The sequence below is a fragment of the Homo sapiens genome, chromosome 13 (assembly GCF_000001405.40).
Source record: "Homo sapiens chromosome 13, GRCh38.p14 Primary Assembly".
In the NCBI taxonomy this organism is placed as follows: Eukaryota; Metazoa; Chordata; class Mammalia; order Primates; family Hominidae; genus Homo; species Homo sapiens.
This window is the reverse complement of record NC_000013.11, coordinates 76,228,225-76,251,206: the sequence shown is the minus strand read 5'-3', so window position 1 is coordinate 76,251,206 and position 22,982 is coordinate 76,228,225. Positions and strand designations below refer to the sequence as shown.

Sequence of the window (22,982 nt, the reverse complement as noted above, 5' to 3'; positions counted from 1 at the left end):
AAAAGACAAATGGGAGAAAATATTTGATGAATAGAAAATATAGTCTGTTGGCTGGGTGCAGTGGCTCACGTCTGTAATCCCAGCACTTTGGGAGGGAGGCCAAGGCAGGTGGATCACTTGAGGTTGGGGTTCGAGATCATCATGGTGAAACCCCGTCTCTACTAAATATACAAATTACAATTAAAAATACAATTAGCTGGGCATGGTGGCAGGCGCCTGTAATCCTAGCTACTTGGGAGGCTGAGGCAGGAGAATCACTTAAACCTGGAAAGCAGAGGTTGCAGTGAGCCACTGAGATCATGCCACTGCACTCCAGTCTGGGTGACAGAGAGAGGCTCTGTCTCAAAAAAAAAAAAAAGAAAACAAAATGTAGTCTGTTGAATTAGTCTCTTGTTAAACGGATTATAAGTTTCATGAAGGCAGTGGCAGTGAATATCTTGTTCATTATTAATTTCACAGAGTTTTACATGTTACCTAAAATATAGTAAGTGCTTTTTCAATATTTGATAGGAGTGCTTCTTGAAGTAGGAGCTATAAGAGAGTGGTACACAGGAAATAATCAGTGGAGGAGTATCCTTGAAGATAAACGGATGGTATGCAAAATTGAAGCAGAGAAACTATTCTAAAATTAAAAGTGGGGATATTTTATACCATTGTGGTAGGATGGAAATGATAAAATAAGATGTAAATGCAGCAAAATGTTAAAATAGAACGTCAGAAAATGAAGAAATTTTCCATCTGTTGGCTTTGTTTTCCTTTATAAAGTAGGAGGACAGGTAGCATGATGAGTGTGAAGGATGATGTGGGAAGTAGGAACTTGGAACAGAGTGGAGAAGGTTTGAAATAGTCGCTGTGAAGAACCAGTCAAGAGATGACTAAGAAGAGCTCTAGGCAACACTAACACAATAATTTATGGAAACCAAAATGAAGTAGCAACAATCTGCCTTAGTGTAGGATTTTCCACAGACACCATGTGTGAGACAAGAGAAAAGGGACAATTAGTTTGACAGAGGATTGAGATGTTTTGGGGAAAGTAAGACAGAAGGACAATGAGGCAGTTATCAGTCCTTCTTGCACTGCTGTAAAGTTATTAGTCCTTTGTTATTAGTCCTTTCTTGCACTGATAAAAAGAAATACCTATAACTGGGTAATTTAGAAAGAAAAGAGGTTTAATTGGCTAATGGTTCTGCAGGCTGTATGGGAAGCATAGTGGCTTCTACTTTTGGGCAGGCCTCAGGAAGCTTCCAATTATGGTGGAAGGCAAAGCGGGAGAGAGGCCTCTCACATGGTGGGAGTGGGAGCGAGTTAGAGGGGGGAGTTGCTACATACTTTTAAATGACCAGATCATGTGAGAACTCACCATTGTGAGGACAGTACCAAGGAGATGGTACTAAACCATTAATGAGAAACTGCCCCCATGATCCAATCACCTCCCATCAGGCCCCACCTCCAACAATGGGGATTACAATTTGACATGAGATTTGGGTGGGGACGCAGATCCAAGCCATATCAGGCAGAGAATTGAGAACAAATTCTATTTTGTTAAACTGTATGAAATGTCTGACATTTAACCATTTTTGAAATGGATATTTTTATAATTTACTATCTATAATATGAGTCACGGAATAGAAACCTGAAACAGAGTTGGGGTAAAGGTCGATGGAATAGAGACTATCAAGTGAATGACTTTTTGGGGATATTAGGCTTTATTCATATGAATGTTGAACTTAAATAGGTTTTGATAAAAGAAGGGACTTGACTGAGATTGAAACAAAAAAAAAGGAATATGATTTAACCAACTGACATGAGTATCAAGAGGGATATTTTAATACAAGATGAAGGAATAATGTAGAAATGGCACGGGGAGAGAATGTGTTAACTGCACCTCACAACTCCAAAAGCTATGGACTGTGGGAGAAGAACCATCATCCTGTAGGTAGTTTGACCATTGTGGTGTGTTGAACTATGTCCCTCAAAAATCCATTCCGACCTGAACTTCACAATGTAACCTTATTTGGACTAAGGCTCTTGGCAGATGTAATTAAAGATCAAGGTAAGATCATATGGGATTAAAATGACTCTGACATTTAGTGTAAGCCCTAACAAGAGATAGAGTAGGAGAAGAGAGTGACACAGTTAAGTAGGCAATGTGACAATATGGGCAGAGATCGGAGTGATGTATCTAAAAGTCAAGGTACAGCAAAGAATTGTTGGCAACCACAAGAAGCTAGGAGAGAAACATGAGATTTCTTCTCCCTCAGAGCCTCTGAAAGGAAGGAAACCTGCTGACATCTTGACTGCAGACTTCTAGTTTCCTCAACTATATGTGAATACATTTCTGTTACCTTGAACCACTCATTTATGGTCATTTCTTATGGCAGCCCCAGGAAACTATTATGGACATACATCCTGGTTTGTTCAGGGCAGTCCCAGTCCCAGTTTACCCCTAATCTCATATTGTAATTACTAATGGTTTTATCTATTTACTCTAAAAAATATCCCAGTTTGGACAATACATGATGGAATCATGTCAGCTTTTAGGGAGGTGTAAACAGGAAAGGAAGCAGTTTTCAGCTAATGAAATAAAGTGTATGGAATGTTTACTAAAAAGTTTGAGTATCTATGGGGTTATATTTAATACGAAATGAAGTTCCAGAGGAATTGTGCAGTTTTGAAAGGGAGAGAGATGGTCGGCAGCTGGATCAGCAGATGCCAGCATCGTGCAGTGCAATTAGGATAACATGGGGAAAGGTATATAGTTTTCACAGGAACGGGATATATGGTGGGTTTATCATTGATAAATGCAGGTCCCTGATGTCAGGAGTAGGATTCTCTGGTCTTAGGAAGTAGCCTATCCAGCACATTTGCTATTCAGGGAGTTAGACTCTAGATGAACAGACCAGCAAATCAGTATTTCAATAGAGGCCAGAACTCTGGACTGGAAGTGCTATAGAAGGAGTACTTTTGATGGTGCTGTTGAAGGAGGTGGAGGCCAGCTGGGTGGGCCAGCATCAAACTACTTTGAACTAAGGATGTTTCTCTTTAATGAAGAAGAGAAGACTTGAAATGGCATAATAAATATCTAAAAATATTCAAAGGCATCTTACATGGAAGAGGCTTCAAAAAGAAAACCAGAATCAATTTAGAAAAACTATAAGTATAAAGAGTTTTGCCTAATATGAAGAATTTTATATCAGAATTCAGAGTCAAGCAATGGGGTAAACTGCTCCCAGATTTAGTAAACTTTCCACTACATGGAGAGTTTTTTTTTTTCAGGTGGCCACATCAACAAATATTGTGAAAGAGTTGGTTGAGATATATATAAACACTTGAAGAAGGGGTAATGGACAAGATAAGTGCAGCATTCCTAAAAGAAGTAAGTAAAACTGTCAGAAAAAGCATATGGATAGAACCACAAAACAACGAGGGTATTTTTGTTGAGCCAAAAATCTGGAGGAGCAACATGGAGGATGAGAAACAACTGGTCAGCATGGTTAATAGAGATGCACTTGTGTGGAACTTCAGGTCACAGATGACCAGTGTTTGGGGATCTCTGAAGTACCCAGTAGAGTCTCTGAAAAGAAAGAACAACCTACCTTAGAACTAGTTCACATAAGATAATATAAATTAGAGCAGATCTCATCAGTTTAGCCTACAGTTTTGTCTAGCAGTGTTTAATCTTCTGCAGCATCAAGGGCAACCTCATCTTTTAAAAGTCTACTACATTTGAGTCATGGGGTCATCTTTTCCTCATTCTTCAAATATAATCTATTTTAAGTTTAAAAATACTACCTTTATGTATTTACTCAGATAGGTTTTAATTCCAGCTGTCCCTTCACATTGCACCCTGTTAGACTGATGTCTTGAGCAAATAAAGAATATGTGCTCAATAATTTGGATTCTAAATCTGCCAAATAGAATTCAAAGTACCATGTGTATTATAAAGTACTTGAGCTTTTGCTATTATATAATAGTAAATAGTTGAACTGTATGTGATAAATGACACAACTTTGCCCTTGTTCTATTAATTGATTTAATCTAGAGCCTTGTTTAGTAACTTGTTCTAATGAAAGTGTCATAATTTTTATTGATGAGTAAATCTTTGTTTATATTTAACTATGATCCAGAAAACAAGCCCTATATAAACAAATTCATTGATTTTCATTTGTCATTTATTCATTCAAAAATATCTTTCTGAGCATTAGTAATGTGCCAGGCAGTATTTTAAACACTGTGGTGAAAACAAACAAATAAATAAATAAACAGGTGCTCATTCCTATAATCCCAGCTACTCAGGAAACTGAGGGAGAATTGCTTGAGTCCAGGAGTTTGAGTTTGCAATGAGCTATGATTACGCCATTGCACTTCAGCTTGGTTGACAGGGAGAGGGACCCTGTCTGGAAAAAAAAAAAAAAGAGGAGAAGGAAAGAGGAAGAATAGGAAAAGGAGGAAGAGGAAAAAGAAGAAGAAGAAAAAGAAGGGGAAGGGGAAGAAGAAAAGGAAGAGGAGGAGGAGGAGGAAGAAGAAGAAGAAGAAGTTGTTCTTCTGTGTGCTCATGGAGATGTCTTATGTTTTACATCCTAGTGAAGAGAGACACGCAATAAACATAAAAATAATTAAACAAGACAATTTTAACTAGGAAAAAATTATGGATTGGATAAGGACTGGATGAATCTGTTTTACATTGAATGGTCCAAAAATACCTCTTATAGAGGAGGACAGTATAGAGCTGAAACCTGATGATTAAGAAGCAAACATGTGATAGAGAATTGCAAATGCTAAAACCCTAAGGTGGGAGAAATGCTTTGTTTGAACATAGAAAGGAATTATGTCAGATTAAAAAGCAGAGCCAGATTACAATATTCCTTTAGTTTTCTATGTGTTCTGGATTTTGGTGGTCAGCAAAGGTATTGTATGTATATTTTGTCTAGATAATACTAATGTGTAGGACAAGTTTTAGAACTAATAAGGCATGTAAAACAATCATGAGGGATTCACTTCAGGAAGATCTGTGAACACTGTACTAAACATAAACCTGTATTACAGACAGGAACAGACTCCAGGTTTTGCCCCAGTGAGTACTCTTGTGTCGAGTTAAGCAGCCTGACCTCTTTGTCATTATGTAATCAGTCTGCACATATGTAAGGCAGCAAAATAAATGTTCCCAAATTATTCCACACTTTCACTTGAAATCAGTGCTTGTTTTAAGCTGAGCTTATTGCTAGAAGGGGCTCCTTTATCTTACAAAATTAAGGAAGACTGTTTACAAAGGTTTTTTAAAAAGTGGAGAATTAGTTTTATCCAGAGAATTGATTCAGCAGAAAGATCCCATCTAGGTTATTTATACGAAAAGCCCAGTTTCTCAAATGATGTTTGTCAATGCTTCACTTGCTTTTGTAGATGTAATAATCAGTATATAGTCATTTAAACTAGAACTATTTTATATTTGTTTCTTCATATTACCAAATAGATGAATTTTTTAAACGTTTGGTAGAAGTATAAATACATTTACGCATAGTTTTCAAATCATGAAATGTTTAGGAACCTCTAAATAATAACCTATACAATTTTATTTTCACATGTCATAATCTGTGTTTATAACTTTAGTGTCTGGATGACATAAAATAATCGTATAATGACAGAGAACTTAATATGAAATACAAACTGTTAGTATTTCCCATAATAGAGAGAAGCTATTTAGTTGGCATCTGCCATAGTCAGGGTTCTCTGGAGGGACAGAATAGAACAGATGTAGATATAAAGGGAAGTTTATTAAGGAGTATTGACTCACAGGGATCACAAGGTGAGGTCCCATGACAGGCCATCTGTAAGCTGAAGAGCAAGGAAGCCAGTCTGTGTCCCAAAGCTGAAGAACTTGGAGTCCAATGTTCGAGGGCAGGAAGCATCCAGCACGGAAGAAAGATAGAAACCAGAAGAGTAAACCAGTCTAGTCTTTCCACGCTCTTCTGCCTGCTTTTAATCTGGTTGAGCTGGCAGCTGATTAAATTGTGCCCACCCAGATTGAGGGTGGGTCTGCCTTTCCCAGTCCACTGACTCAAATGTTCATCTACTTTGGCAAACCCCCCCCCCAGATACACCCAGCAACAATATTTTGCATCCTTCAATCAAGTTGACACTCAATATTAAGCATCAGAGGATCATAACATGACCATGCTACAATCTGAATGAATTATCAGTTTTCATAAGGTTTTGAAACTTTCCTAAAGGAAATGCTCTTGAAACGTACTTGGATGAAATGTATTTCATATTAACTCTTAGGATTTCTTTTCTTCCATTGGATTTATAAGCCAGCAAATCACCTAATAATTTTTTTCTCATTTTATGTATATTATTGTTAACATTTCAGCATAAAAATTTTAAAGTAGAGAGAATAGTAAAATGAACCTCTTCAGTTTCCACAATCAACAATGCCTTCCAAATGTTTTTTCATATATATCTACACATACGTAACCTTCCCATCCTCCACTGAGTTATGCTGAAACAAATCGCAGAAATCATATGGTCGTATATGTAAAGTTAGCATTTTTCTTAAATTGTTGAAATTTGCAAACAGCGAATATTCAAGATAATATTATTCAACAATTTTCCTTGCGATGCTGCATTTTTTCTCATAATTTTTAGGATGTTTAGGTAAGGATTAAAAAGTGAAATGTGTCTTCAATATCTTTTTCTGAGTTTAGTGAAGTATAAAGAGAAAACCCAAACAATTTTCCCTCTAGCATTAAACATTGCATTTTAATTAAAATCACACAGATAAAGTAATCAAAGTATATCCTAGCACAATGCTTCTGTTGAAGGTATGAAGCTTTACTGTTGATAAATTGCTATGTGGGCAATCCACTGCTAATAATTAAAAGTTAACTACATTTAAGAAAACAGTGATAAGAATTGGTAGTGCTTATATTTTAAGACATTGCATTGGATTTAAATGCTGCTTTAAAAAGTTTTTACTTTGTCTAACTAGGGGATATGTGCTTAAATAATTCTTAATGCTTTTTTTTAAATGCAATGCAATAATGTTACATATGTAGAGTTTTACTGTATCCTATGAATTTTCTTCTATAAACCTCAAAATAATGTCAGTAAGTAGCTTAGGGAAATGAAATGATTTTCCCAAACTCATGTAGTTGATAGGTGGAAGAGCTGGTGCAGTACTAACATACATGCAAATAATTGTTTTCCTTTTAAGTTCAATATCATACTGATGCTACAGATGTTTAAACAATAAAAAAGAATCCTTTGGAGGAGGAGAGGAGCTCTGATTTTTAGAGTTTCTAGTTTTTCTGCTCTGTTTTTTCCCCATCTTTGTGGTTTTATCTACCTTTGGTCTTTGGTGATGGTGACATACAGATGGGGTTTTGGTGTGGCTGTCCTTTCTGTTTGTTAGTTTTTCTTCTAACAGTCAGGACCCTCAGCTGCAGGTCTGTTGGAGTTTGCTGGAGGTCCACTCCAGACCCTGTTTGCCTGGGTTATCAGCAGCGGAGGCTGCAGAACAGCGGATATTGGTGAGCAGCAAATATTGCTGCCTGATCGTTCCTCTGGAAGTTTTGTCTCAGAGGAGTACCTGGCCGTGTAAAGTGTCAGTCTGCCCCTACTGGGGGATGCCTCCCAGTTAGGCTACTCAGGGATCAGGGACCCACTTGAGGAGGCAGTCTGTCCGTTCTCAGATCTCCAGCTGCGTGCTGGGAGAACCACTACTCTCTTCAAAGCTGTCAGACAGGGACATTTAAGTCTGCAGAGGATTCTGCTGCCTTTTGTTTGGCTATTCCCTGTCCCCAGAGGTGGAGTCTACAGAGACAGGCAGGCCTCCTTGAGCTGCTGTGGGCTCCACCCAGTTCGAGCTTCCCAGCCACTTTGTTTACCTACTCAATGGCGGGCGCCCCTCCCCCAGCCTCGCTGCAGCCTTGCAGTTTGATCTCAGACTGCTGTGCTAGCAATGAGTGAGGCTCCATGGGCTTAGGACCCTCCGAGCCAGGAGCAGGATATAAATTCCTGGTGTGCCGATAAGACCATTGGAAAAACACAGTATTAGGGTGGGAGTGACCCGATTTTCCAGGTGCCATCCATTACCCCTTTCTTTGACTAGGAAAGGGAATTCCCTGACCCCTTGCACTTCCTGGGTGAGGCGATGCCTCGCCCTGCTTCGGCTCATGCTGGGTGCGCTGCACCCACTGTCCTGCACCCACTTTCCTACACTCCCCAGTGAGATGAGCCCAGTACCTCAGTTGGAAATGCAGAAATCACCCATCTTCTGCATCGCTCATGCTGGGAGCTCTAGACTGGAGCTGTTCCTATTCGGCCATCTGGGACACATTCAAAGCAGTGTGTAGAGGGAAATTTATAGTACTAAGTGCCCACAAGAGAAAGCAGGAAAGATCTAAAATTGACACCCTAACATCACAATTAAAAGAACTAGAGAAGCAAGAGCAAACACATTCAAAAGCTAGCAGAAGGCAAGAAATAACTAAGATCAGAGCAGAACTGAAGGAAAGAGAGACACAAACAAAAAACTTCAAAAAAAATCAATGAATCCAGGAGCTGGTTTTTTGAAAAGATCAACAAAATTGATAGACTGCTAGCAAGACTAATAAAGAAGAAAAGAGAGAAGAATCAAATAGACACAATAAAAAATGATAAAGGGGATATCACTACCGATCCCACAGAAATACAAACTACCATCAGAGAATACTATAAACACCTCTACACAAATAAACTAGAAAATCTACAAGAAATGGATAAATTCCTGGACACATACACCCTCCCAAGACTAAACCAGGAAGAAGTTGAATCTCTGAATAGACCAATAACAGGCTCTGAAATTGAGGCAATAATTACTAGCTTACCAACCAAAAAAAGTCCAGGACCAGACAGATTCACAGCCAAATTCTACCAGAGGTACAAGGAGGAGCTGGTACCATTCCTTCTGAAACTATTCCAATCAATAGAAAAAGAGGGAATCCTCCCTAACTCATTTTATGAGGCCAGCATCATCCTGAAACCAAAGCCTGACAGAGAAACAACAAAAAAAGAGAATTTTAGACCAATATCCCTGATGAACATCGCTGCAAAAATCCTCAGTAAAATACTGGCAAACCGAATCCAGCAGCACATCAAAAAGCTTATCCACCATGATCAAGTGGGCTTCATCCCTGGGATGCAAGGCTGGTTCAACATACGCAAATCAATAAACATAATCCAGCATATAAACAGAACCAACAACAAAAACCATATGATTATCTCAATAGATGCAGAAAAGACCTTTGACAAAATTCAACAAACTTCATGCTAAAAACTCTCAATAAATTAGGTATTGATGGGACGTATCTCAAAATCGTAAGAGCTATCTATGACAAACCCACAGCCAATATCATACTGAATGGGCAAAAACTGGAAGCATTCCTTTGAAAACTGGCACAAGACAGGGATGCCCTCTTTCACCGCTCCTATTCAACATAGTGTTGGAAGTTCTGGCCAGGGCAATCAGGCAGGAGGAGGAAATAAAGGGTATTCAATTAGGAAAAGAGGAAGTCAAATTGTCCCAGTTTGCAGATGACATGATTGTATATCTAGAAAACCCCATTGTCTCAGCCCAAAATCTCCTTAAGCTGATAGGCAACTTCAGCAAAGTCTCAGGATACAAAATCAATGTGCAAAAATCACAAGCATTCTTATACACCAATAACAGACAGAGAGCCAAATCATGAGTGAACTCCCATTCAAATTGCTTCAAAGAGAATAAAATACCTAGGAATCCAACTTACAAGGGACGTGAAGGACCTCTTCAAGGAGAACTACAAACCACTGCTCAGTGAAATAAAAGAGGATACAAACAAATAGAAGAATATTTCATGCTCATGGGTAGGAAGAATCAATATCATAAAAATGGCCATACTGCCCAAGATAATTTATAGATTCAGTGCCATCCCCATCAAGCTACCAATGACTTTCTTCACAGAATTGGAAAAAACTACTTTAAAGTTCATATGGAACCAAAAAAGAGACCGCACTGCCAAGTCAATCCTAAGCCAAAAGAACAAAGCTGGAGGCATCACGCTCCCTGACTTGAAACTGTACTACAAGGCTACAGTAACCAAAACAGCATGGTACTGGTGCCAAAACAGAGATATAGACCAATGGAACAGAACAGAGCTGTCAGAAATAATGCCGCATATCTACAACCATCTGATCTTTGAAAAACCTGACAAAAACAAGAGGTGGGGAAAGGATTCCCTATTTAATAAATGGTGCTGGGAAAACTGGCTAACCACATGCACAAAGCTGAAACTGGATCCTTTCCTTACACCTTATACAAAAATTAATTCAAGATGGATTAAAGACTTAAATGTTAGACCTGAAACCATAAAAACCCTAGAAGAAAACCTAGGCAATACCATTCAGGACATAGTCATGGGCAAGGACTTCAAGTCTAAAACACCAAAAGCAATGGCAACAAAAGCCAAAATTGACAAATGGGATCTAATTAAACTGAAGAGCTTCTGCACAGCAAAAGAAACTACCATAGAGTGACCAGGCAACCTACAGAATGGGAGAAAATTGTTGCAATCTACTCATCTGACAGAGGGCTAATATCCAGAATCTACAATGAACTCAAATACATTTACAAGAAAAAAACAAACAACCTCACCAAAAAGTGGGAGAAGGATATGAAAAGACACTTCTCAAAAGAAGATATTTATGCAGCCAAAAGACACATGAAAAAATTCTCATCATCACTGGCCATCAGAGAAATGCAAATCAAAACCACAATGAGATACCATCTCACACCAGTTAGAATGGCGATCATTCAAAAGTCAGGAGACAACAAGTGCTGGAGAGCATGTGGAGAAATAGGAACACTTTTACACTGTTGGTGGGACTGTAAACTAGTTCAACCATTGTGGAAGTCAGTGTGGCAATTCCTTAGGGATCTAGAACTAGAAATATCATTTGACCCAGCCATCCCATTACTGGGTATATACCCAAATGATTATAAACCATGCTGCTATAAAGACACATGCACACGTATGTTTATCACGGCACTATTCACAATAGCAAAGACTTGGAACCAAGCCAAATGTCTAACAATGATAGACTGGATTAAGAAAATGTGGCACATATACATCATGGAATACTATGCAGCCATAAAAGTGATGAGTTCATGTCCTTTGTAGGGACATGGATGAAGCTGGAAACCATCATTTTCAGCAAACTATCTCAAGGACAAAAAAACCAAACACCGCAGGTTCTCACTCATAGGTGGGAACTGAACGATGAGAACACATGGACACAGGAAGGGGAACATCACACACCAGGGCCTGTTGTGGGGTGGGGGAAGGGGGGAGGGATAGCATTAGGAGATACACCTAATGTTAAATGACGAGTTAATGGGTGCAGCACACCAACATGGCACATGTATACATATGTAAGAGACCTGCACATTGTGCACATGTACCCTAAAACTTAAAGTATAAAAAAAAAAAAGAATCCAACACTCTTTAAGCTTTAACTGTTTCCCAGGGACACGACTTTTCTGAGTAGTTTGCTATGATCGTGAATGGTGGTGTCTTTGTGCTAAAACAATTCACGAAACCCACTATTCTGCAAGAATTATGGGATTCCTTTTTAAATTTTGCAAATGGATTCCTGTAGCACTATCTTTTATGGAATTCCAAAGTCAGAACTGCCTGAGTGGCAGCTCATTTTTATTTATAGTTACTTAACTAACACAAATTCCAGACACTAGACTTAGTGAAACATGTAGACACAAATAACTTTTTCCTAATTGGCCACCACAAAGTCACCTCTTAATCAATTCTCAATTTCACATTGAAGACTCAAAAATATCTTCCCACAAAATCTTAGTATTTTGCTTTCACTATTATGTTCCCATATCATCTCCAATTTCAGTAATATGAGTGTTTTGGGAAATCATTGCCCTGTTATTTCATAAGTGTTCTAAATTTTCTTGGGTCAAATTTCAGAAAATTGATACTATGATATTCAGTTACGAGCTTGCAATTTAATGTTCCAGACCATGGTTTCAGAAGCTTCCAATCACTGACCAATTATTATAAAATAACCCATAGTCATGCATGAGGTTTTTCTTTATTTCTTATTTTTCATTTCTATAATCTTCCTCATTTTTTTGAGCCTTTGAGGCTATTGGAAGCCATAAGAAAAAAGTGTACTCAAATAGTTACACACACACACACACACACACACACACACACACACACACACACACTAGGTCCAATGAAATTTGATTTTAAAAAAAAATCTAAAATAGCTCCAGAATTTCCCAAAATGCTACTTTGGACTTGAACACAAATAATGTCAGCTTCTTATTTTACATATTGCAAAAGACCTGCAATGACATGCCCTGCCTACACTGTAGACAAACAAGGATCATTGCTCCTTAATTTTGATAAACATCACAAATTGATTTTGAATAATAGCCTTTTTAGATTAATATTACAATTAGTTGACATTCCCTGTCACACACATCAACTGACAGCACAGAAAATATGTCAAGGAACATTCAGAGCACCTGGAAGAAGGCAAACTTAGATCCTAAAAATAGTTACAGGTAACCCAACAAGAGTCATGAAAATGCAATATAGAATTGTAGGAAGCTGAAGGGCTTTTGAGCACTGCTGTTTCAATTTATAGATGGCTGAACTGAGGCTCCTTAACCTAGATAACTTGTGCCAGGAAACAACCTGAGACATCTTACCTGGTTTAATGTCATAATATAGTTTAGTATCATAGAAAATACTCAAATCTAACATTATTTATTGTTTGTAAATTCTTTTTTCTTTTTTATTTTTGTGGGTACATAGTAGGTGTATATATTTGTTGCATATATGAGATGATTTGACACAGACAGGCAATGCGTAATAACCACATCATTGGAAATAGGGTATCCATTCCCTCAAGCACTCATTCTTTGCGTGGCAACCAATCCAGTTATACTCTTTCAGTTACTATAAAATGTACAATTAAGTTATTATTGACTATAGTCACCTTGTTGTGCCATCAAATACTAGGTCTTATTCATTCTTTCTATTTTTTGTACTTATTAACAATCCCCAACTTGCCCTAAGCCCCCCCAACTCCAGACACACTACCCTTCCCATCCTCTGGTAACCATGATTCTACTGTCTATCTCCATGAATTCAATTGTTTTGATTTTTAGATCCCACAAATAAGTGAGAACATGCAATGTTTGTCATTCTGTGCCTGGCTTATTTCACTTAACATAATGATCTCTAGTTCCATCCATATTGTTGCAAGTGACAGGATCTCATTATTTTTTCTGGCTGAAGAATACTCCATGGTATATATGTACCACACTTTCTTCATCCACTCATCTGTTGATGGACAAATAGGTTACTTCCAAATCTTGGCTATTGTGAACAGTGCTGCAAAAAACATGGGAGTGCAGATCACTCTCTTTGATATACTGAGTTCCTTTCTTTTGGGTATACAACCAGCAGTGGGATTGCTAGATCATATGGTAGCTCAGTTTTTAGTTTTCTGAGGAACTTCAAAACTGTTCTCCGAAGTGGTTATACTAATTTACATTCCCATCAACGGTGGATGGGGGTTCCCTTTTCTCCATATCCTTGCCAGCATTTGTTCCCACCTTTCTTTTGGATATAAGCCATTATACCTGGAGTCAGATGATATCTTATTATAGTTTTGATTTGCATTTCTCCAATGATCAGTAATGTTGAGCACATTTTCATATGCCTGTTTGCCATTTGTATGTCTTCTTTTGAGAAATGTCTATTCAAATATTTTGCCCATTTTAAAAATTGGATTATTGGATTTTTTTCCTATAGAGTTATTTAAGCTCCTTATATATTCCAGTTATTAATCCTTTGTCAGACAAGTAGTTTACAAGTATTTTCTCCCATTCTGTAGGTTGTCTCTTCACTTTATTGTTTCCTTTGCTGTGCAAAGCTTTTTAACTTTATGTGACAACATTTGCACATTTTTGTTTTGGTGGCCTGTGCTCGTGGGGTATTGCTCAAGAAATTTTTGCCCAGACCAATGTCCTGAAGACTTTCCCCAAAGTTTTCTTGTAGTAGTTTCATATTGTGAGGTCTTAAAGTCTTTAATACATTTTGATTTGATTTTTGTATATGGGAACATATAGGGGTCTAGTTTCATTTTTCTGCATATGAATATCCAGTTTTCCAAGCACCATTTATTGAGACTGTTTTTTTTTCCCCCAGTGTATGTTCTTGGCATCTTTGTTGAAAATGAGTTCACAAAGGTGTGTGGGTGTGTGGATTCCTTTCTGGGTTCTCAGTTCTGTTCCATTGGTCTATGTGTCTGTTTTTATGCCAGTACGATGCTGTTTTGGCTACTAGAGCTCTGTAGTATATAATCTGAAGTTGGGTAATGTGATCCCACCAATTTTGTCCTTTTGGCTTAGGATAGATATTAAGCTATTTTGGGTCTTTTGTGGTTCCATATAAATTTTAGGATTTTTTTTTCTATTTCTGTGAAAAATGTCATTGGTATTTTGATAAGGAGTCCATTGAATCTGTAGATTACTTTGGGCAGTATAGACATTTTAACAATATTGATTCATCCAATCAATGAACATGAAATATCTTTCCATTTTTTTTGTTGTCCTCTTCAACTTCTTTCATCAATGTTTTATAGTTTTCATTATAGAGATATTTCAGTTCCTTGGTTAATTCCTCAGTATTTAATTTTAATTGTAAATGGGATTACCTTTTAATTTCTGTTTTAGACTTTACTGTTGGCATATAGAAATGCTACAAATTTTTATATGTTGATTTTACATTCTTAAACTTTACTGTATTTGTTTATCAGTTCTAATAGATTTTTTTTGGTGGAGTCTTTATGTTTTTCTAAATATAAGATTAAACCGTCTGCAAACAAGAATAATTTGACTTCTCCCTTTCCAGCATGGATGCCCTTTATTTCTTTCTCTTGTCTAATTGATCTAGGTAGAACCACAAGTCCTATGTTGAATAAGAGTGGTGAAAGTGGCCATCCTTGTCATGTTCCAGATCTTTAAGGAAAGGCTTTCAGTTTTCTCCAATTGAGTATAATACCAGCTGTGAGTCTTTCATATATGGCTTTAATTATGTTGAGGTATGTTCCTTCTATATAGTTTTTTGAGTTTTTATATAAAGGAATATTGAATTTTATTAAGAGCTTTTCAGCATCAATGGAAATGTTTTTTTTTTTTCTATGCTTGTTGGCTGCATGCATACCTTAAAATAATAAGAGCCATCTATGACAAACCCATAGCCAACATCATACTGAAAGGGCAAAGGTTGAAAGCATTCCCCTTGAAAACTGGCACAAGACAAGGATGCCCTCTCTCACCATGCCAATTCAGCATAGTATTGGAAGTCCTAGCCAGAGCAATCAAGCAAGAGAAAGAAATAAAAGGCATCCACATAGGAAGAGAGGGAGTCAAACTATTCCTGTTTGCAGATGACATGATTCTATATCTAGAAAACGACACAGTCTCAGCCCCAGAGCTCCTTAAGCTGATAAACAACTTCAGCTAAGTTTCAGGATACAAAATAAATGTACAGACATCACTAGCATTCCTATACACCAACAACAGTCAAGGCAAGAGCCAAATCAGGAATGCAATCCCGTTCACAACTGCCACAAAAAGAATAAAAATACCTAGGAATACAGCTAACCAGGGAGGTGAAAGATCTCTACAATAAGAAATACAAAACACTGCTCAAAGAAATCAGAGAGGACACAAACAAATGAAAAAACATTCCATGCTCATGCATAGGAAGAATCAACATTGTTAAAATGGCCATATTGCCCAAAGCAATTTGTAGATTCAATTCTATTCCTATCAAACTACCAATGATGTTCTTCACAGAAGTAGAAAAAACTATTTTAAAACTCATACAGAACCAAAAAAGAGCCCTAATAACCAAGGAAATCCCAAACAAAAAGAAGAAAGTTGGAGGCATCACTTTATCAGACTTCAAACTGTACTACAGTAACCAAAACAGCATGGTACCGATACAAAACCAGACACATAGACCAGTGGAACAGAATTAAGAGCCCAGAAATAAGGCCACACACCTACAACTATCTGATCTTCAACAAAGCTCGCAAAAACAAGCAATGGGGAATATACTTCCTATTCAATATATGGTGCTGGGATAACTAGCTAGCCATATGCAGAAGATTGAAACTGGACCCCTTCCTTACTCCATATAAAAAAATTAACTCAAGATGGATTAAAGACTTAAATGTACAACCCCAAACTGAAAAAAAAAAACCCTAGAAGACAATCTAGGCAATACCATTCTAGACATAGGACCTGGCAAAGATTTTATGACAAAGATAACAAAAGCAATTGCAACAACAGCAAAAATTGACAAATGGGATCTAATTTAACTAAAGAGCTTCTGCACAGCAAAATAAACTATTGATAGACAACCTACAGAATGGGAGAAAAATTTTGCAAACTATGCATCTGACACAAGTCTAATGTCCAGCATCTATAAGGACCTTAAACAAATTCACATGAAAATAAACCAAGTAACCCCATTAAAAAGTGGGCAAAGGACAAGAAGAGACTTTTTTTTTTTTTTTTTTTTTTTTTTGGAGACAGAGTCTCACTCTGTTGCCAGGCTGGAGTACAGTGGCAGGATCTCGGCTCACTACCACCTCCACCTCCTGGGTTCAAGTGACTCTCCTGCCTCAGCCTCTGGAGTAGCTGGGATTACAGGCACACGCCACCATGCTTGGCTAATTTTTGTATTTTTAGTAGAGACAGAGTCTCGCCCTGTTAGCCAGAATGGTCTCAATCTCCCGACCTTGTGATCTGCCCACCTTAGCCTCCCAAAGTGCTGGGATTACAGGTGTGAGCCCCTATGCCTGGCCAAGAAGAGACACTTTTATTGATCTTTTGGCTTTTTTCTTTTTCATTTCAAATTCATTTATTTCTGCTCTGAACTTGACTATTTCTTTTCTTCTAATTTTTTGTTTGGGTTGCTCTTGCTTTTGTAGTTCTTTAAAATACATTGTAAGATTATTTATTGGAAGTTCTTCTTTTTTGATGTAGGTTTTCATAGTTATAAAATTCCCTCTTAGTACTGCTTTTGCTGTATCCCTTAGGTTTTGGTGTGCTATGTTTCCATTATCATTGGTTTCAAGAAATGTTTCAATTTCCTTCTTACTTTCTTCATTGACACACTGGTTATTCAGAAGCATATTGTTTAATTCCCATGTATTTGTATAGCTTCCAAAATTCCTTGTTATTGCTCTCTAGTTTTACTCCACTGTGATCAGAGAAGGTATTATTTCAATTTTTTGGAATGTCTTAGACTTATTTTGTGACCTAGCATATGGTCTATCCTTGAGAATGATCCAGGTGCTGCAGTAAAGAAAGTGCATTCTGTAGCCACTGGATGGAATGTTCTTTAAGTAGCTATTATTTCCATTTGGTCTATAGTGCAGATAAAGTCCAATGTTTCCTTCTTGATTTTCTGTCTAGATGATCTGTTCAATGCTAAACGTGGGGTGTTGAAGTCTCCAGTTATTTTATTGGGACCTCTCTCTTTAGCTCTAATAATATTTGCTTTATGTATATCTGGGTGCTCCAGTGTTGGGTGCATATATATTTAAAATTCTTATCTTACTGAATTGACCCTTTTATCATTATGTAGTGACCTCTGTCTCTTCTTATGGTTTTTGTCTTGAAATATATTTTGTCTGATATAAGCATAGCTACTCCTGCTCTTTTTTTGGTATTCCATTGGCATGGAATATCTTTTTCCATACTTTTATATTCAGTCTATGTGTGTCTTTATAGGTAAAGTGTGTTTCTTGCACACAACAGATCACTGAGTCTTGTTTTTTAATCCATTCAGCCATTCTGTGGCTTTTGATTGGAGAGGTTAGCCTATTTACATTCATTGTTGTTGTTAATAAGTAAAGACTTACTCCTGTCATTTTCTTCTTTGTTTTCTGGTTGTTTTATGGTCTTCTCTTCTTTCTTTCCTTGCTGTCTTCCTTTTAGTGAAGGTGATTTTGACTGGTGATGTGAATGTTTCTCATTTTTTATTTTTAATGTACCTGTTACATGTTTTTTGGTTTGAGGTTACCATGAGGCTTGCAAATACCATTATTTTAAGCTGTTAACAACTTAACACTGTATAAACACAAGCAAAAAGAAAACAAAAACTGTAAGCCCTAACTTCCTCACCTGACTTTTAAACGTTTTGTTGTTTCTATTTATGTTGTACTGTGCTGTCTATATCTCAAAAATTTATTGTAATTATTATTTTTGATTGGTTCATTGTTTAGTCTTTCTTCTTGGAATAAGAGTAGTTTTCACACTACCCTTACAGTGTTACAATATTCTCTTTTTCTGTATACTTACTATTATCAGTGAGTGCAGGCTTATTTTGCAGCTGCAGGCGATTACTTATTGCTCATAAACATCCTTTTCTTTCTGATTGAAGTACTCCCTTTAGCATTTCTTGTATATCAGGTCTGGTGTTGATGAAATCCCTCAGCTTTTATTTGTCTAGGAAAGTCTTTATTTTTCCTTCATGTTTGAAGGATATTTTGGCCAGGTATGCTATTCTAGGGTAAATGGTTTTTTGTTTTTTTTTTGTTTTTTTTTTTCCTTCAGTACTTTTGATATATCATGCCACTCTGTCCTGGCCAGTAAGTTTTCCACTGAGAAGTGTGCTGCCAGATGTACTGAAGCTCCACTGTATGTTTTTTGTTTCTTTTCTCTTGCTGCTTTTAGGATTGTTTCTTTATCCCTGACCTTTGGAGTTTGATTATTAAATGCCTTAAGGTAGTCTTCTTTGGGTTAAATCTGCTTGGTATTCTATAACCTTCTTGTACTTGGATATTGATATCTTCCTACAGATTTGGGAAGTTCTGTTATTATCCATTTTAATAAACTTTCCACCCCTATCTCTTTCTCTTCTCGCTGGATTACCAGGCAGAGACCCTTGTTCTCTTTCCTTACTTTGTCCCAAACAAATGGGGTCTCTCTCTGTCCTGAGCCATCAGAAGCTGAGAATTAAGTGACATAAGCACTCCTGTGGTCACCACTTCTATGTCTGTGCTGGGTCAGACCTGAAGTAAGCAAAGCCCTGGATCTTATCCAAGGCCTGCTGTAACCACTCCCTGGCCATTACCTATTTTCACTTAAGGCCCTGGGGCTCTATACTCACTAAGTAGCAAAGCCAGCCAGGCCTGTATTCTTTCCTTCAGAGTGGCAAGTTCCCCAAGCCCTGGGCAGGTCCAGAGATGCTGTCCAGGAGCCAGAGACTAGAGTCAGAAACCTTAGAAGTATACCTGGTATGCTATTGTACTGTGGCTGAGCTGGCGCTCAAACCAGAAGACACAATCCTTCCCTCTCTTCCCTCCTCTTTCCAAAGGCAGAGGAGCCTCACCTTGTGGCCATCACCACCACAGGCCCATGGACGGTACTGCCAGACTACTGCCAATTTTCCGTTAAAGCATGAGGGTTGTTTCGTCAGCTTGTGGTGAATGCTGCTTGGCCTGGAACCCACCCTTTAGGGCAGTGGGCTCCCCTCTGCCCAGAGCAGGTCCAGAAATGCCATCCAAGGGCCAAGTCCTAGAATTTGGGACCCAAAGAGCTTGCTTGGTATTTTACTCCCTGTGGCTGAGCTGGTACCTAAGGTGCAAGACAAAGTCTCTAACTCTTCCTTCTGTTTTTCTCAAGCAGAAGGAGTCTCTTCCTGCAGCCACCCCAGCAGGAATTGCTGAGCCTCCTCTGAAGCCAGTAAATGTCAGGTCTCACCCAAGGCCTTCGACATAGTACCTGGGTATCACTGCTGGTTATTCAGGGTCTAAGGGCCCTTCAGTTAGCAGGTGATGAATGCTGCCAGGACTGGGTCCTTCCCTTCAAGACAGTAGGTTCCCTTCTGGCCCAGGGGGATGTGTCTAGTAATGTCATACAAGATTTAGGGCTGGGAAGGGGGCCTCCTAATACTGACCAGTGTCCTATCCTGATGTGGCTGAGCTACTATCCATGTTTAAGACAAATGTCCTCCCCACTCTTCCCTCTTCTATCCTCAAGCAGAAAGCAGGGGCATCTCTTTTACAGTTGTGAGCTGTGCATCCTGCGGTTATGGGAGTGGTGATGGCAGCACTCTTTTGGCTGTCCTGGCTGGTGTCTCAGCATGCCCTCCCCCCAACCCCTGTCTACTGTCTCTGTGCCCAGTTCAGCACTAGGACTCTCCTAAAAGTTGCAGTCCTTGTGGCCTACTCTGCCTTTCAAGTTTATTGGCAGCCCCAGAGCACTTTAGCCCGTGATGGTGTGGTTTGTGGGACGTCAAGTTCCCACCTCTGTGATTGGTGATTCCACTCTGGCTAGGGCTGGTTTAAATGCTCCCTTCATGGGTGGGCATCAGCTAAGTTTGTTCTGGTTTTCCTTCCTGTTATAACAGAACAGCACTGAGTTTAATGCCTCCCATTTGCTGCACTCTCCCTCTCCGAGACCACAGAAATACTCTGCACCATGCCACTGCTGCTATGGGTGGGGGAGGGATGGCATCAGCGATTCGAGACTGTTTTTTCTACCTCTTCAGTGTCTCTCTCAGTGATATGAAGTTAAAAACCAGATACTGTGAGTGCTTACCTGATTTTGAGGTCTTTTGAAGGCGCTTTTTGTATGTAGGTGTTAAATTGCTGCCCTTGCAAGAGGGAATGATCAGTGCAGCCTTCTATTCTACCATCTTGCTCAGCCTCCTCCTCAAATCTAACATTATTGATGCTCAAAGAAAATTAAGTACAAAATCTATTCATTATTTACCATGTGCTATGAATACTATTCTATCTTTATCTTATTTACATTCTCAATTTTGTCATTTTATTTTTCTTTATTAATAAGAGTAAGGCCATATAAAATGGCCTTTTATTGAGCAGCTATCATACCTGAGACATTTAATACATTATTTTAAATTTTTACAAATATGCCACAAGGTAGGCGTATTTGTTAATTAAATACAGCCAAACATGGATATCTGCAATTAAAGTCAGAGGTGGAAAAGCCATAGTATGGAAAGACCGTCGGTATAATTAAATCTGTAAAAGTGTATGACTCATACCAATCACCGGGTGAATTACAGTTATAGGATAGAATTTAAGTGTCATAAACCTTGATCATTCAAAAATAGTAATATGATTAATATAAATTATGAGAAAAATGGGGGAAACAGGAAAATGGAAGTGAGCTCATTGCCTCATTTTTTTCTATTTTGGAGAAAACAGAGTGAGTTAGATACTTTATATTTCATACTTGAGGGATAATAGATTCCAATTAATATTTATAAGTCAAGAAATAGATATTTATGTGTACTATTTAAAATGAGATAATTATTCAAAGCCATGCATGTTATGTAAAATAGGGAAGAACACAAGATGATGGATATGGTGGATTGATTTGCTCAATGTTTATTTTTAAATGCCTCCCTAGATTGCAGAGAAAAAAACAGCTAAAATCTTCATTTCCCAGACTTCCATGTACGAGGGCTTCAGGTGTGTTTTAGGATCTACTAAACGTATGCATTCACTGAGAAATGTGGAAGTGAGTAAGAAGGAGGTGGAGTATGAGGCATCCATTTTCAGATGGAGATCACAGTGGAAGTAATGTGGCCCAGGAAAAACCACTGGCCACAGTGGGAATGGCAGTTTTCCAGACTGTGACAAAGTGAGTGCCATGGTCATATCTTTGTGTTTCAGTATTTCTCTGCAGAAATCATCACAGGTTTCTCAATCACAATCACAGATGAGTGCAATCCTAGGAGCAAAGAACTCTGCCCAAATCCTGCTCTTCCAACCCTACCAACAATTTCACAAACCATTGACCTAGCTGGTAGTAAATCCCCTTCTATTTGAACTATCTAGAGTGGTTTCTGCAGTCTGTAGCTGTAGCCTAGCATTCTCTCTCTCTCTGTCACACACAGACACACACGCACACACATCTTATAGAGGAAAAGATAGTTACAAAGAAAAACATAAAATAAAATGAAGGGCTTAAGATTAAGAAGAGTATTTATAGTTAAATGGGATATAAATTCACCTTATATCACATTAAATTTTAAAAAGTATGTAGAAAAAGATGCAATCATAACAAGTTGGCTCTAAAAGTACAAGTGAAGATATATCTTGAGAGATGCAAACAAAGAAATCAACAGTTGACAATACAGGCATCAGGCAAGGTTAAATATTATTGCAAAATATAAATAACTTGGATAAATACTGTCATTTAAAAATGATGGAAAGTGAATGCCACAATGAATTTTTGAGCATGAGATAATATAGAACCAAAATACAAGTACTAAAAATTGCTGTAAGTACAAAAACAAATTGATTGAAATAAATAGTAGCAAGAAACTTAATTTTGTTTCTCTCTAGACCAAGGGTCAGGAAACTTTTCCATAAAAGGCCAGATAGTGAAGGTTTTAGACTTTGATGTCCATACAGTTTCTGTCACAGACATGCAACTCTATCAGAGATATTATATAAACAAACATTTATATCTGGCTACCAATAAACCTTTACAAAAACAGGCTTCAGGTGTGTTCCCCTACTGTTTATAGTCTGCCAACTCCTGTTCTAAACCACAATTGATCAACTAAGTAAACACAGAGCTGAACAAAATAACACAGTAAGAGTTATCTAATTGATGTAAATTGACTATAATTTCATATAAACAGAGAAAGTACTTTCTTTCAAGTTCTGTGGAAGATTTACAAAAATTAACAATCAGTAGCAGTGGAGGGCTTTCTAGCCTCATGTTTTTTTCATTTGTTGAGTGCTTTCTGTGTGTTCGAAATCAAACCATTTACATGAATCAACTCATCTGATCCTCATAACAGCCTCATGAAATAGGCACAATTATCTTCATCCCCATCTTACAGGAAGGAACCACGAGGGTAGTT

General features: G+C 37.9%; 1 long non-coding RNA gene across 1 annotated transcript in view, besides 1 other annotated feature; it reads left to right on the top strand.

Annotated features, from left to right (window-relative positions):
• LOC105370262 (uncharacterized) overlaps positions 1-21,692 on the top strand; it is a 41,390-nt gene extending 19,698 nt beyond the window's left edge. The window contains exons 2-3 of the long non-coding RNA XR_942093.3: positions 3,277-3,376; positions 21,515-21,692. This is a non-coding gene — a long non-coding RNA (uncharacterized LOC105370262). The remainder of the gene's footprint in view (positions 1-3,276; positions 3,377-21,514) is intronic.
• Positions 7,422-7,922: an enhancer, noted in NCBI's record as "H3K4me1 hESC enhancer chr13:76817421-76817921 (GRCh37/hg19 assembly coordinates)". NCBI's record gives its function as "activates a minimal SCP1, AML or CMV promoter by ChIP-STARR-seq in naive H9 embryonic stem cells {active_cell/tissue: H9 hESC(naive)}" and the evidence as "EXISTENCE:reporter gene assay evidence [ECO:0000049][PMID:30033119]".
• Positions 21,693-22,982: the final 1,290 nt, after the last annotated feature.